At 43.0% G+C, this 13,879-nt stretch overlaps 1 long non-coding RNA gene across 1 annotated transcript in view, besides 4 other annotated features; it reads right to left on the bottom strand.

Moving 5' to 3' along the window:
- Window positions 1-13,879, bottom strand: part of SEC61G-DT (SEC61G divergent transcript) — a 45,657-nt gene that overhangs the window by 15,130 nt on the left and 16,648 nt on the right. The window contains exon 2 of the long non-coding RNA NR_110040.1: window positions 6,615-6,732. This is a non-coding gene — a long non-coding RNA (SEC61G divergent transcript). The remainder of the gene's footprint in view (window positions 1-6,614; window positions 6,733-13,879) is intronic.
- Window positions 752-1,429: a silencer, noted in NCBI's record as "S2 fragment used in the reporter construct". NCBI's record gives its function as "represses activity of a beta-globin enhancer-driven SV40 promoter in transfected K562 erythroleukemia cells {active_cell/tissue: K562}" and the evidence as "EXISTENCE:reporter gene assay evidence [ECO:0000049][PMID:30886051]".
- Window positions 7,411-8,274: an enhancer, noted in NCBI's record as "OCT4-NANOG-H3K27ac-H3K4me1 hESC enhancer chr7:54849259-54850122 (GRCh37/hg19 assembly coordinates)". NCBI's record gives its function as "activates a minimal SCP1, AML or CMV promoter by ChIP-STARR-seq in naive and primed H9 embryonic stem cells {active_cell/tissue: H9 hESC(naive and primed)}" and the evidence as "EXISTENCE:reporter gene assay evidence [ECO:0000049][PMID:30033119]".
- Window positions 8,275-9,138: an enhancer, noted in NCBI's record as "OCT4-NANOG-H3K27ac hESC enhancer chr7:54848395-54849258 (GRCh37/hg19 assembly coordinates)". NCBI's record gives its function as "activates a minimal SCP1, AML or CMV promoter by ChIP-STARR-seq in naive and primed H9 embryonic stem cells {active_cell/tissue: H9 hESC(naive and primed)}" and the evidence as "EXISTENCE:reporter gene assay evidence [ECO:0000049][PMID:30033119]".
- Window positions 9,139-10,002: an enhancer, noted in NCBI's record as "H3K27ac hESC enhancer chr7:54847531-54848394 (GRCh37/hg19 assembly coordinates)". NCBI's record gives its function as "activates a minimal SCP1, AML or CMV promoter by ChIP-STARR-seq in naive H9 embryonic stem cells {active_cell/tissue: H9 hESC(naive)}" and the evidence as "EXISTENCE:reporter gene assay evidence [ECO:0000049][PMID:30033119]".

Genomic DNA, 13,879 nt, shown 5'->3' with positions numbered 1-13,879 from the left:
TAGAAACTGAATTCATAACTTAAAAATTGAGAGCAACCAAAATAACATTTAATACTTGAATGAATAAGCAAACTGCAGTATATCCAGACAACAGAATACTATCCACTGGTTTAAAAAAAAAGAGCTCTCAAACCACAAAGACATGGAGGAACCTTAAATGCATATGCCTAAGTAAAAGAAATCAGTCTGAAAAGACTCCATACTATATGATTCTTAATGTACAGCACACTGAAAAAAAAAAAACTATAAAAATGGTAAAAAGATCAGTGGTTTCCAGGTGTTGAGAGCTACAGGGAGGAGCATACATAGGTTAAGCACAGGGGATTGTTAGGTCAGTGAAAATATTCTGTATGATGCTATGATAATGGATGAGTGATACTGGCATATGTGAAAACTCATTAAACTCTACAATACAAATTATCCAACTATATAACAAAAGGGTAAACCCTAATTTAAATTACAGATGTTAGCTAATAGTAATGTACTAACGTTGGTTTGTTGGTTGTAACAAAGGTACCACACCAATGCAAGGTGTTAATTTTTAAAAATAGCCAGAAACCAAAAAAACCAACCTCCAAACAAAATAGAAAGTACTCTTCCTAAACTCTTCTGCTGCATTTTCCTGTGGGTTTTGAACCCAAAAGGAGGCTTTGAGGCAGCCCCTGTCCCACCACATTGCTCGCTGCCCCGACAGGAGAGTTTCTGACCCTGATTCTGTTGCCCGACACATGGCTGTTCTTTTGTACATACATGAGTACTTGCTAGCCAAATATTTGGTGAGCATGCTCTTTATTCATCCATATGCCATGAATATAAGTGAACGGAGCAATTTATTCAACAACTATTGTTAAGTAACTGGTAGGAAGCAGGCATTGCTAGGTGTCATTGAACAAAATGGCCAATAACCACTGTCGTGGAGCTGAGACAGTCAGCGTGGCATCGTAATGAGGTATGCAGTGACAGTACTGTTTGACTCACTGCATCATGTGACAGCAGGTGGAGAACGCAGATCTGGGTGGGATCCTACTTCGCTAGTTACTAGCGAAGTCTTCTTGAGAGCTGACTTTACTTTCTGAGCTTTAGCGCTCTCTTCTGCAAGTCCAGGGTCATTACTTCTGTGGAGAACTTTTTTCAAGCTTGGAAAAGACAATGTATACAAACTCCAGCAGATCGGGTTTTTTGAGGCAGGAATTCTCAACTGTTTCTGTCTCTGTCCCTGTGTTTCCGTTTTACCCCTTCCACCCACCCACCCACACACACACGCATATGCGCGCACACACACACATATTTCCTTCTATAGTTTCCTATTTCCTATTTAAATGAATGTTACTGGTAAAAAAGGAAATTTGCTCTTACATGCCATGCAGTGTTCCTAGGGTAACTCTTTAGTCTCCTAGTTGGTGACTGACACGTTTTAAAATATGTTCCAGATGTGGGGTGGGGGGAGGGGGGAGGGATAGCATTGGGAGATATACCTAATGCTAGATGACGAGTTGGTGCAGCGCACCAGCATGGCACATGTATACATATGTAACTAACCTGCACAATGTGCACATGTACCCTAAAACTTAAAGTATAATAATAAAAGAAAACAACAACAACAACAACAACAACAAAAAATCTGTTCCAGAATTTTTAACACTCACTATAACAACATCGTAGATTGGAGAATGCAGCATATTTGGATTTGCCAATTCCAATCTTCTACCACCCTGACGCAAATCCTGCATGCGCAACCAGAGAAACTACTGTAATGTGACAGGGGCCCTTGATTTCTGTGAGGCTGCAGCGGGCAGCTGAGGGGAGAAACTGAGCCTGGACAGACAGGGGCCTCCAGAGTTGGAAATGGGCGACGTAACTTTGGTGGATAGACAAGAAATTGTGAAACGTGAAATGCTGATGGAATTATCCTAAAATAATTGATCATTTTGCTCCGCCGGGGTGATAAGGAGTGAAGTGAGGAGCTGGGGTAATAGATCCCAATGGTGCAAAGTGCAGGGTGACTTGGAATAAAAGAGTGGAGAAGGTGAAGAGAATGAGTACGTGGTTTAGTGGGATTTAAGTTTATTATTTCAGAGGTGGGATAATCACGGTGCTGGCTTAGCTTAGGGTGTGGCCAAGAGCACAGACTACTCAAATAGCATGGAAGTGAAGATTGTCAGAGTATAACAGAAGAATGTTTTTAGAAAAATAATAACAAGGAATAAGTATCTGTACCTGATATCAAAACATACTGTAGCATCATGTTGAAAACAAAGAAATATGAATGAAAAATATAAAAACATATGAATGCAAATGCGTAGAGAGCCCAGAAATTGACCTAGATTAGTGTAGGATTACTATAACCTTGTAAAACAGCAAAACATCATAAATGATATTGGGTTAATGATACAGTGTTGTGGAAAAAAATAAATATACAACTATATTCAAAATTCCCAAATATATCAAAGAACAAGATATTAAGGAAATTATAGATGGGCCAGCAAAAAGGCAGAACTTTAAAGTGTTGATAACATTCTAAGAATTAAGGCAATATAAGATAGAAGAGAAAAATAACAGATGCAATTACATAAAAATATACAATTTTTCTAAGTAAAAGAAAGGATAATATAAAAATTACAGAAGAAGATTGGGTAAGACATACAAATAGAATGCAGACATGAAATAAGGCAAGTGGTATAAACAAATATAGCCCTCATGGAAAGTTAAAAGGCTATAAAAATATTTATACGACTCAGACCAGTATTCTAACTCCTAAGGATTTATTCTAAGAAAACAGTGGAAAGGAAAAAAAGTGAAGTCCATTGAAGTATTGATTGTAACGTGATCTGTAACTGTAAAATAATAAAAAAAATAAAGTATCTAACAATAAGGAAATGGTTAAGGAAATTAGGACATAGTAGCTAAATGGCATATTTAGCTATTAAAATAGTAATTTAAAAATATGAAATTATATTATGTAACAATAAAATATTTGAGAGAAAAATTTAAGGCTATGGCTATAATTATTTATATGGTTACAGACATGAAAATAATAGACTAAAATGTAAGGTAATTACTTTGTGAGTTAGGTTTATGGATGACTTTTTTCCTACAATTTTATTTAAGAGTTTAAAATATTGTTTTATAAGAAAAGTATGGGAGCATGAAGCAGACGGCATGGGCAGGAAAGAAAGCGGAGCCGGCTCCAGGTCTCACTGAAACCAGGACGACAAGGTATCCAGATGAGGCACAGGCTGAAAAACGTCTAGACTGAGTCCGAGGCTCAAAGGCCATTTCCTAAACACTGAATTCTCTAACTAACACTAGAGTTAATTTGTGTTACTCACAGGAGGCGGGTTTGCTCTAGGGTGCAGAGAATGGGGACTGGAGGAAGGAATGCTGGAGAAGTGTTGTTCTTGGTTTTGAATCTGACAGACTGCCCATGTCCTAACCACACACACACACACACACACACACACACGATAACTACTGGGGGACATGGATGTGTTAATGTGAAAATTATTACACAATGAATATGTGTATCAAATTATCACATCTTATGCCTTGATTGTAACTGCCTTTTAAGTAGTTTGGTGGCTGAACTGGGTTTCTTTGCTATCTGAGCCATTAATTTCACAGAAGTCTGACAGGGGTGCAGAGTGCATGAGGGCCCTCTTCTGCCGTGGGTCCGTGCTGGGACAGTGTAGGCCACAGTTGCCAAGAGGGTGAACTTCTAGGCAGCAAGGCCATGCTGAATGGCTAAGGGCAGTTTGGTTGGAAGGTCCTCTCTGCTGGGCCTTTCCCAAGGAAGGGGAGTGAAAGCAGAATCTTCAGCAACCGCGTTGCAGGATAAAAGCTGCCAAGGGGAAGAGCATTTTGACAGGGAGAGGAATTGTGCGCCACAGAAATCGCGCTCTGGAGTAAGGCAATGAAAGGTAGATAAAATCTACTTTTGCCAAATGTTTGGTTTTAGTTCTCTTCTGGGGTAATACTTAAAATATTCAAGTGGTTAGGACCTAACCATTCTGAATTAAACCATTCTGAATTCTGTAACTGCTGGAAAGGGGAAAGACAGTGATAGGGTGACAGGGCACTAGGAAGGGGGTGGGCTTGGAGCAGTGGCCATTTACCAAGCAGTTGGAAACATCTCAATATTTTAACAAGAAGCAAGGCCATCTCAGTGCTTATTAGCCTTGGTCCTTTCTCTTCTCTTCTTCTTCTTGGTGGCTATAGCCTCTATTTGTTCTTTCTTTGCCTTTACCAGCTGAGCGCAATTCCCTTTCCCTCTGCTCGTGAGTCACATCATGCACTTCCTGTCCTGAATGGATGTGTGTGTGGTAGGGACAGGGATCCCACATGTGGACTTACTGGTTAGGTGAGATGAGGGTAAGTGAGCAGTGATGCAATAGCCAAAGTAAGATCCACCATCACCAAGGAGGCCACGGTCTGTTCCTGTTGTGGGCAGGAAGCCAGAGGGCGCCATGGTGGCCAGCAGTGTCGACAGGGATGTTCCCAATGGGAAGTGTGCTCTGTGACAGGCACGGGTGCAGGCACCCTTACAAACCACGTCCCCCCAGATCACAGCGAAACCTCATTCTGTTTCATACCTGGCCAGGCATGGTCGGCAATGATCAGGATGTGAGTGCTGGAGTCAGATGCTTTGGGCTGCAGTATTGGCTCCCCAAGTAATTGCCTGAGTGCCCTTTGATTACCTCGTCACTCTGAACCCACAGCTCTAAAATGAGAACAGCAATTTTACCTACTGCCCTAGGTTGCTGTGGAGGTTAAATGAGTTAGTAAGGACTCAGTAAAGATCTCATTGTTATTATTGCATTCCTCCTGTTTTATGCTGCAATTGCTGAGACTAGCTTGACTCCTTCACCCCAATCCTGTCTCAATTATACTCACATCTAGATCTTCAAAGTAGTCTACTTTGTGCGAAGACAATTTCTCAGCCTTTTTGATCAGTGCATACTTCTGATGAACATAAAAATAGTATGCCTAGTTCTCCAAGGAGATTTTGACCTACTCCTCTGTGGGACTTGCCCTTCCACCCCTTTCCTCAACTCCCATCATTCCTTGGTGGATAATCAGGGGTGAGCATAGTTTCTTTTTAATGACAAAATAATCACTTATTCAATTTGACTATGTCTACAAATTCCCAAGTACATGAATAATTTGTCCAATATTGGCTCTTAGTCTTCCAAAGAGAAAATGTTAGAGAACACCTCCACAAATGCACAGAGATTTGAAGAGCTGGACCTCCGTAAATGACCTGCATGATGAAGGCTGTGATAGACTCCAACTTCAGAGGACTGTGTTAGGGGAGGAGGAAGGTGGAGTTCAGGTTTAATAAACCCAGGAGGACAGACGATGGGGTGTTGCACCAAAAACATGCAAAGCCCAACCTCAGATCTAGATTTATTCCAGGAATAACCCCCAGAGTCTGGATCCAGAAGAGAAAGAAGAGCAGAAGCAGCAGGTAGAGAATAAGCAGAAAATGGAGCCTGGAACAGTGCTATTGCCTGGGGCTGGCTTTCGCAGGGAAGCCTTGAAGGGCCCGTGTCAGCATAGCAGACCTTGAAGGACCAGGGACCACAGGGGATAGTGGTCTGACAAGAGTTAACTCCTGGACATTCTCAAACCCAGCTGTGGATTGTGTGCCCATGATGGCACTTTAAAAGACCACAACAAAATCACTATTTGACAAATACCACAGGAGCAGCTGTTGCAGGCAAAAGTCATCAACAGGTGTTAAAACCAGCTGGGCAGGAGAGACGTATAACGAGAAACAGGACATTTGCTTAGTTTCAGTGTAGCTCTCTACAAGATATTTAATAATTGCAACAGGAAAAATAGTAAATGTTATGGTGGAGAAACCTGCCATATACTACCTTAACCAAGGCATCAAAGTGTAAGATCATACACAGTCTGATATGATGCATTTAGAAGGCACAATAGTCATGTTGCGGGAGACTGAGACATGACAACTAAATGCCACTTGTGGTCCTGGTCTGGATCCTGAAAAAGGACATTAGTGGGACACTGCAATTTGAATAAGGTATATGGATGTATTTCTAGTATTCTATCAATTTGAGTTCCTGGCTTTGATGATTATACTACAGTTATTTAGGATAGTGACATTTTGGGAAGGTACGAAAAGGGTATATGGGAATTTTTTGTAGTATTTTTGTAACTTTTTGTGTCCACAATTATTCATTTATTTATTTATTTATTTATGAGACGGAGTCTCACTCTTTCGCCCAGGCTGCAGTGCAGTGGTGTGATCTCAGCTCACTGCAAGCTCTGCCTCCCGGGTTCACGCCATTCTCCTGCCTCAGCCTCCTGAGTAGCTGGGACTATAGGTGCCCGCCACCAGGCCTGGCTAATTTTTTTGGTATTTTTAGTAGAGACAGGGTTTCACTGTGTTAGCCAGGATGGTCTCAATCTCCTGACGTTGTGATCCGCCTGCCTCGGCCTCCCAAAGTGCTGGGATTATAGGCGTGAGCCACCGCGCCCAGCCCCAAAATTATTTAAAAATACAATGTTAAAAATAAAGAATAATTTTTAAAAAGACAAAAACAGCAGCACTGGAAATAATAGTAAGCGATTGCCAGGCTCACCATAGTTACCTAATGGAGGCAGTGGTGGAAATTCCCATTCACGACGATGCCATGGAAGGAGGGAGGCCAGGACCCAGTCAGTAGCACGCAGAAGGCTTGTGCTCCAAAATCAAAGATCCTGACTGACCTGGAGAGAAACAAGAAATGCATTAGCCTTAGGGAAAGGGCTGCTACCTGTCCAGCCCAGCTCCATGCTAGAATGCTGACGTTTACACAGCCCCAGGGTAGAAGCCACATGCGGAGAACTAGGCTTCAGAAACCTGGGAGGCGAGTTGCCCTTTCAGAGGACGCTGTGTGGCTGCCACAAAAGGCCCAGGCTGCCTGTATGCAGGCTGCCTTCCCATGCGAGGAAAAGACTTCTACCTTCTTTAAGCTATTGCTAGTTGAAATCTTTCTATTAGTTGCAGCTACTCCTCTGTTGCCATTTTGTCCTTGCTCAAAGATACTGCAGAAAACTGCACTCCCTCCACCACCCAGGAGCCCCATTCTGAGTGGTGACATGCATACCCAATTCCCTGACCTCACATGCAGCACTCGTGTCATCTCCATTCCACACGACAACCCCCAAAGGCCATGAGGCCGGGCGCATGGGAAGCGATGTGCACCTGGCCTTCCTGGAGGTGCAGTGGTCACACGCAAAGTCCTGTGGCAGACAAGGAGAGGCTGTGTACAGCTTTGGAGGCTGTGCAGTGCTTCCACCCCATCTGTGGACACCTCCTCCTCCCAATCTTGCACCTGTATCCTGTGCTCTCGGCACACTGTGCGCTTGTACTTCCCTGCGTTCTGCCGGTTCTCTGATGCCTCTGAGCCTTTGACATACAATACAGCTTCTTCTGCTAGGAACATCCTCTATTCCACCTTTTCACCTGTGCCATCTATTTTATTCTTCAGGTTTCTGCTTAAATATCATCTCTTCCAAAAAGCCTTCCCTGACCTCGGAAGATGGGTTAGATGCCACTCTGATGCATGAATATTTTCACTTCGTCTTTCTCCATCACAGCATCCACCACATCACATCACGATCACTCGCTGATTTGTCCATGTGGACTATGGAGCAAGGACAGTGTATCTCTGGAACCTAATACAATACCTGGAATATAGTATGACTTCAATAACCAATTGATGAATGGGTCAATGGCAAACTTTATGAAGTCACACGATCATGACTTATCCCAGTGATGTGATATTGGACGGCCCGTAACACTTCTAATTTCTCCAAGTTACAACTATTGCTAGCTTTTGTGAGACCACCCAGACCCCCACTGAGCCCAGCTGCAGCACTGTTTCATAGCAACGGATTCACTGGACCATATCCTAAAGTAGGGGTGAGATTGGAAATGGGAAGGCTTTCCCATGAGCCATTGATTTCGTTAATCGCATCCTCACTACTTGCATCATCCACTAGAACAAGAAAGTCAAGTTATCTGTGCTGCTGTCTCCAATTCAAGCTGGGAAGAAAAAGAAGTAAGTGTTTCACATCATAAAGAGAAACAAAGGAAAAATAACGATGCTTTAAAAGAGGTTGACGATTTCAACACCTCCAATCCACTCTCATTCACTCTGTACTTTACTTAGTAAAGTAAGACAAAAAATGTCCCATTAAAGAAGCACACAAAACATTTGCATTTGAATGAGTAAAATTCCAAAACCCCAGTAATGTAAAGCAGCAGCTGTGGTGTGGGAGAAAAGAAGTTTTGGACTAGGAGATCTAGGCCTGGCTCTGCTTCCAGTAGCTAGGTGACTTTTCCAACTCAGCCGGTCTGAACTTGGGTTTCCTCTTTAGTATACGAAATGTTGAACTAAATAAACGACCTCTAATAGCCCCAGCCAAGTTTATCTCTTATCATTGTGCGCAGTAGACACAAATGGCAGTTTCCAATCATCTCCCCCAACCAGTCCACACCCAGGAGAGCCTGGAGGTTAGGGAGTGACACCCACAGGGAAGGATTATGCAGCTATACTTTCCCCAGTGTCTCCCTTAGATCATCAGTAGTGGTGGAAATGCTTTCAAACCTAGAAGTCCCTGGGTACAGGTGAGAGGTGAGTCTTAGAGTAATCTTATCTTTTAACTTTTCAATTTTTTTTTTTTTTTCCCTGAGACGGAGTCTCGCTCTGTCACCCAGTCTGGAGTGCAGTGGTATAATCTCAGCTCACTGCAACTTTGGCCTCCCGGGTTCAAGCGATTCTCCTGCCTCAGCTTCCTGAGCAGCTGGGATTACAGGCATGCACCACAACGCCCAGCTAATTTTTTGTATTTTTAGTAGAGATGGGGTTTCACCATGTTGGTCAGGCTGGTCTCGAACTCCTGACCTTGTGATTCGCCTGCCTCAGCCTCCCAAAGTGCTGGAATTATAGGCGTGAGCCACCGGGCCTGGCCCTAATCTTATTTAAAGACCATAAAAATCTATAAAACTTTCTCTTTTTTTTTTTTTTGCTTTGTGTAGCAAAATCTTCTTTTTCAGGAGCTGAGGAGTCAGAGAACATTTGGTGTGTGGTGCTGCTGTGTCTAGGTAGGGGTTTCCTGTCTGTAATTTCTTTCCGCTCCAGACAATCTGGGCTCCTTGAGGAATGGCTGTCCGCACTGTTCCTTGGCAGACAGGGTGGATTCCTCATGGCGTTTCTATTATTGTTTACTTAAACTGTTATTTTAAACTATTGCTGATATTTTACTTTTCAATTATGAAAGTCTTGTGCTTCTAAGTTATAATAATTATGATTTGATGAGAATCTACCATGTCCAAGTTTTGGGGATGTATGCTTCATATGCAATATAATTTAAATGTCAAAACGTACCTTTGACTGAAGTGTTCCTCTTCATTTTACAAAGAAACCAAAACTAAAATATCTTGCCCCAGTCAAACAAATGGAGGAGCTAAAATCCAGACCCAGGTCACTGCAATCTTGGTTTCTCACCCACTCCCACTCCTTCTGAAGGTCAGGATTCATATCTTTCACTTCCATGGTTTTTATTCCCAAATTCTTTCACATTTTTTATATAGAAGAAATATTTACTAGCATAAATTGTATTTCTTCCTGATAAACTCTCTGTAATTTAAGTATAATGAATGTAGAGCCATATTAATATTGAAGAGGTCCCACCTCATCTCGTCAAAGAGGCTTGAGGAGACTTGGTGACTGAGGCCCGCTCCTCCCAGCTGGAAGCTGAGTGCCTTCTGAGCTTAGGGAGACCAGGCATGAGCCTTACAGTGGTTCCGGTTGGAATAAGATATATAGGAAGGAAAAAAGAAAAGATCCTAAGGAATTGCAGGCTGCTGGGTTGATGGCTGGATTCTGAGAACGGTGGTGAGTGAAAGGGTGGGATGCAGAAAGGTTCCCACACTTAGCATTGGAAAGTGAATCACATCCATCCCAATGTGGACATCAAGGAAGCACCTGGAGTTGGTGGTGGGGACGGAGGAGCTGTGGGTGAGTTGAGTGTGAGGAACCTGGGGGACTGTTGAGTGGAGATGAGTCCAGTTTTAGATATGGCTACAAACGTTATTGAGAAGTTTGACTGAAAGCCTATATTTAAGTGAAATTTGAATCTATGTGATCAGATGAGGTTAAAAAAAAAGTGTCAAGTATAAGAGGAGAATGGATTAAATGGGGACTATCATTGATGTTCAGGAGGTGATCAAAGAAAGAAACATCACTTAAAAGCCCCAACAGGGAGCAGGAAAAGAGCAGCATCAAAATGGGGAAACATGGCGCTAAGGAGAATTCTAAGAAAAAAGTCGTCAGGAGTGTAAAATGTCAGAGAGGATAAGACCGTGCTAAACTAATCATTAGCTTGAGAAAATTGCTTTAAAGCTACCGCAACAGACTACTTGACTTGTAGAAACACATAGTGACCTAATAGGTATAATTTCTCCATTATATGTAATTTTTTCAGTTCCTAAGAGACCTGAAACACAGATTATTACATTGGTGGAGAAAAGTAATTCCACTAATGGGCCATGATAGAGACTGCTAAAGATTTGTTTTGCTTACTTAATAGTTTTTATTGACATTTTGAAAACAAATTTTGTCCATTTTACAAGTCAATAATATCTATTCCAAGGTTGGTATTTGTGAAATGGGGGCAACCAGAATGACTTCATCTCCAGGGAAGTGTCTTCTAATAAGAAACCCTCCAGAGGTGCATGTGATCAAGTGCTTGATGAGTATTTCATGCAGAGTATTAGTCATTCTCCTCAGCATTTAGCTCATCGTACACTTTTCCTTCATTTAACAAGTTTTTTCACTTTTCTAATTTAGAAACATTTCAAAAATTGATTGTGATGCAGTAAGCATTAAGAACGTTGACCTTATCACCATGGAAATGACTTCATTATCACTCTTGTTGCCAAAACCCATCCAGGGCAGTCTGTGATGCTGGTTTGAGACAAACAAAACAGTCAGAATGAGAAAGATTTTTCTTGGTATGAAGGGCAATTGGCCTATGTCTTCCAAAGAATCCCAGTCTCTTTCTCTGACAAAAATAAACATGCAACTTTGCTTCTCATACCGAAGAGTAATTTAAGAGACAGCACATGTCAACTTGACAGTGGTAATTCCGTAAATGAAGCTGTGGGCAGTGCAGGACTAACATGCGTGTCCTTTTTTTTTTTTTTTTTTTTTTTTTTTCGTGAGATGGAGTCTTGCTCTGTCGCCCAGGCTGGAGTGCAGTGGTGTGGTCTCGGCTCACTGCAAGATCCGCCTCTTGGGTTCACACCATTCTCCTGCCTCAGCCTCCCACGCAACTGGGACTACAGGCACACCCGGCTTTTTTTTTTTTTTTTGTATTTTTAGTAGAAACAGGGTTTCATTGTGTTAGCCGGGCTGGTGTTGATCTCCTGACCTCGTGATCCACCTGCCTCGGCTTCCCAAAGTGCTGGGATTACAGGCATGAGTCACCGTGCCCAGCCATGGCATGTATTTAAAACCAGGAAAGGAACCTCTAAGAGTTGGAGCCACATCAGTGGCTGCCCTCCTGCTGTGCCTTCTATGCGCAGTTACAATGCTGCAGTAAATTAGACACCCCCTCCCCATCAGCTCCAGGTCACTACCAAGATACCATTTCTAGTAAAGTTGGTCTTTCTCTCTGAATTTCAGTTACTTTTGAATCATGATTTTATTATTACTCATTCTGCTATTCTCCCATTCACTCAATAAATATTTTTTGATTGCCTTTCTACGTGCCTGGTATTATTGTAGTGGTAAACAAGATAAGCTCTGTTTCTTAATGGGGCTTATATTTTACTCAGGAGAGGCAGAAGAGCATGGCCCCAGGGACTCACTTCCTCCCTGCCTTTATATAATAGCTCAGCAGAGTACTTGGTAGGCGCTCTACCCGAGCCTAATAGGAGGACGGGTCAGTGTCTGGTTGCCAGGTTCTGGAGGACCTTCCCTTCCAACAAGGCCACTTTCTCAACTAGAGAACGTGTGTGGTCCCACAGATATCCCCTGCTCCCTTCTCTTAAATACACACCATAAATATACAGAGCATCATGGGGACATTGTCCTTCCTTGCTGGTGCCTTGGCCCTGATGCACCAGACTGTGTATATCCTGTCTAAGAGCTAAGGAGTAACACGACTTAAGGAGACCGTGCAACCCACTACTTCTTGGCTTGTTTTCCTCCAGTAAACTCTATTTTACACCTGAACTTTGTGGTGCTGGAACAAATAAATAAAGACAATTTTCAACAGTGCTAAGTGTGATGAAGGAAATGAAACGTTGCCATGGCTTACACAGGGGCTGAGGCTAAGTGAGGACTACTTCAGTTGGGACAGCCGGGAAGACCTCTTTGAGGAGACGGTGATAGAACCAAAGCAGGAATGATAAAAGGCAGCAGCTGGGTGTAGAAAGACGATTAGAGCACAGGACAAGCACGTGGGGAGGCCTGGATGATAGTAGGAGCTTGACACACGTGTGGTCGGAAAGAGCCAGAGCACAGCCAGTCAGGGGAAGAGAGGGAGCCGGGGGTCTTTGGAGGGTAGATTTGACTCCAGCTACAGCAAGCAGCTACGCGAGAAGTGAAAGTGAAGAGTTAACATGATGTGATGACCATATTTAAAAGTTTAAGTCTTGGATGTCGGGGAAAATGGCACACAGGGCCATGAATGAAGGCAGAGAACCTAGCCAGGAAGCTGTCACCATGGCCCAGCAAGAGCAAAGGGCAGAGGAGCAAACACCATTGACTGCAGTGAGAGGTAGAGGAGAGGACGGGTCCCAGATGCAGAGAGAGTGAGTGCTTTTAGTCCCTGTGTGCATGATCACAGAAAATCATGTAAAAGTTGCCACTGACAAAAAAAAAAAGAAAGAAAGAAAGAAAGAAAAAGAAAAAAATATATAGGAGGCAATAGGAAATGAAGATGGGCAAAGACTAGAGAATCTCATGTAAAACGGGAAGTCCACAAGGCCAAGCTTTGACAAAGCAAGTGGTTCTGAAACATTCTTGGAACATTGGTAACTCTCCAGCTTGCTGGCTGCGGCCCCCCAGGGGCTCTAGCAAGCTGGTGCTCACTGCAAAAGCATGGCCGAATAGTCTTCAAACCTGGATTTCAAAAAGGGAGACAGACAAGATAACCAAAGCTTGTGAGAAGCAAACTCACTGCGTTTACGGGTAAGATCAGGAACTGAGGCCTAGCTGACTTGGAGGGTTGCCACTAGAACTGATCTCAGAAACGGAGTTTATCGGGGGACCTGCCCTGATAATCACGTGGGTTCTTTTCTATTTTTCCTAAGCGTCGGCCGGCTTGAGAAATAAAGGGACAGAGTACAAAAGAGAGAAATTTTAAAGCTGGGCGTCCTGGGGAGACATCACACGTTGGTAGGATCCATGATGCCCCACAAGCCACAAAAACCAGCAAGTTTTTATTAGGGATTTTCAAAAGGGGAGGGAGTGTGTGAATAGGTATGGGTGACAGACATCACGGACTTAACAGGGTAATAGAATATCACAGGGCAAGTGGAGGCAGGGCGAGATCACAGGACCACAGCACCCAGGCGAAATTAAAATTGCTAATGAAGTTTCAGGCACCATTGTCATTGATAACATCTTATCAGGAGACAGGGTTTTGTGATCAACTGGTCTGATCAAAATTTATTAGGTGGGAATTTCCTCTTCCTAATAAGCCTGGGAGCACTATGGGAGACTGGAGTATATTTCATCTCTGCAGCCTCGACCATAAGAGACAGGTGCACCTGGCGGGGGGGCTGTTTATAAGCCTATACCTCCAGGCGCACATTCTCTTTCTCAGGGACGTTCCATGCTGAGAAAAAGAATTCAGA

This window comes from Homo sapiens, chromosome 7, assembly GCF_000001405.40.
Source record: "Homo sapiens chromosome 7, GRCh38.p14 Primary Assembly".
In the NCBI taxonomy this organism is placed as follows: Eukaryota; Metazoa; Chordata; class Mammalia; order Primates; family Hominidae; genus Homo; species Homo sapiens.
This window is presented reverse-complemented; position numbering and strand designations above follow the sequence as displayed.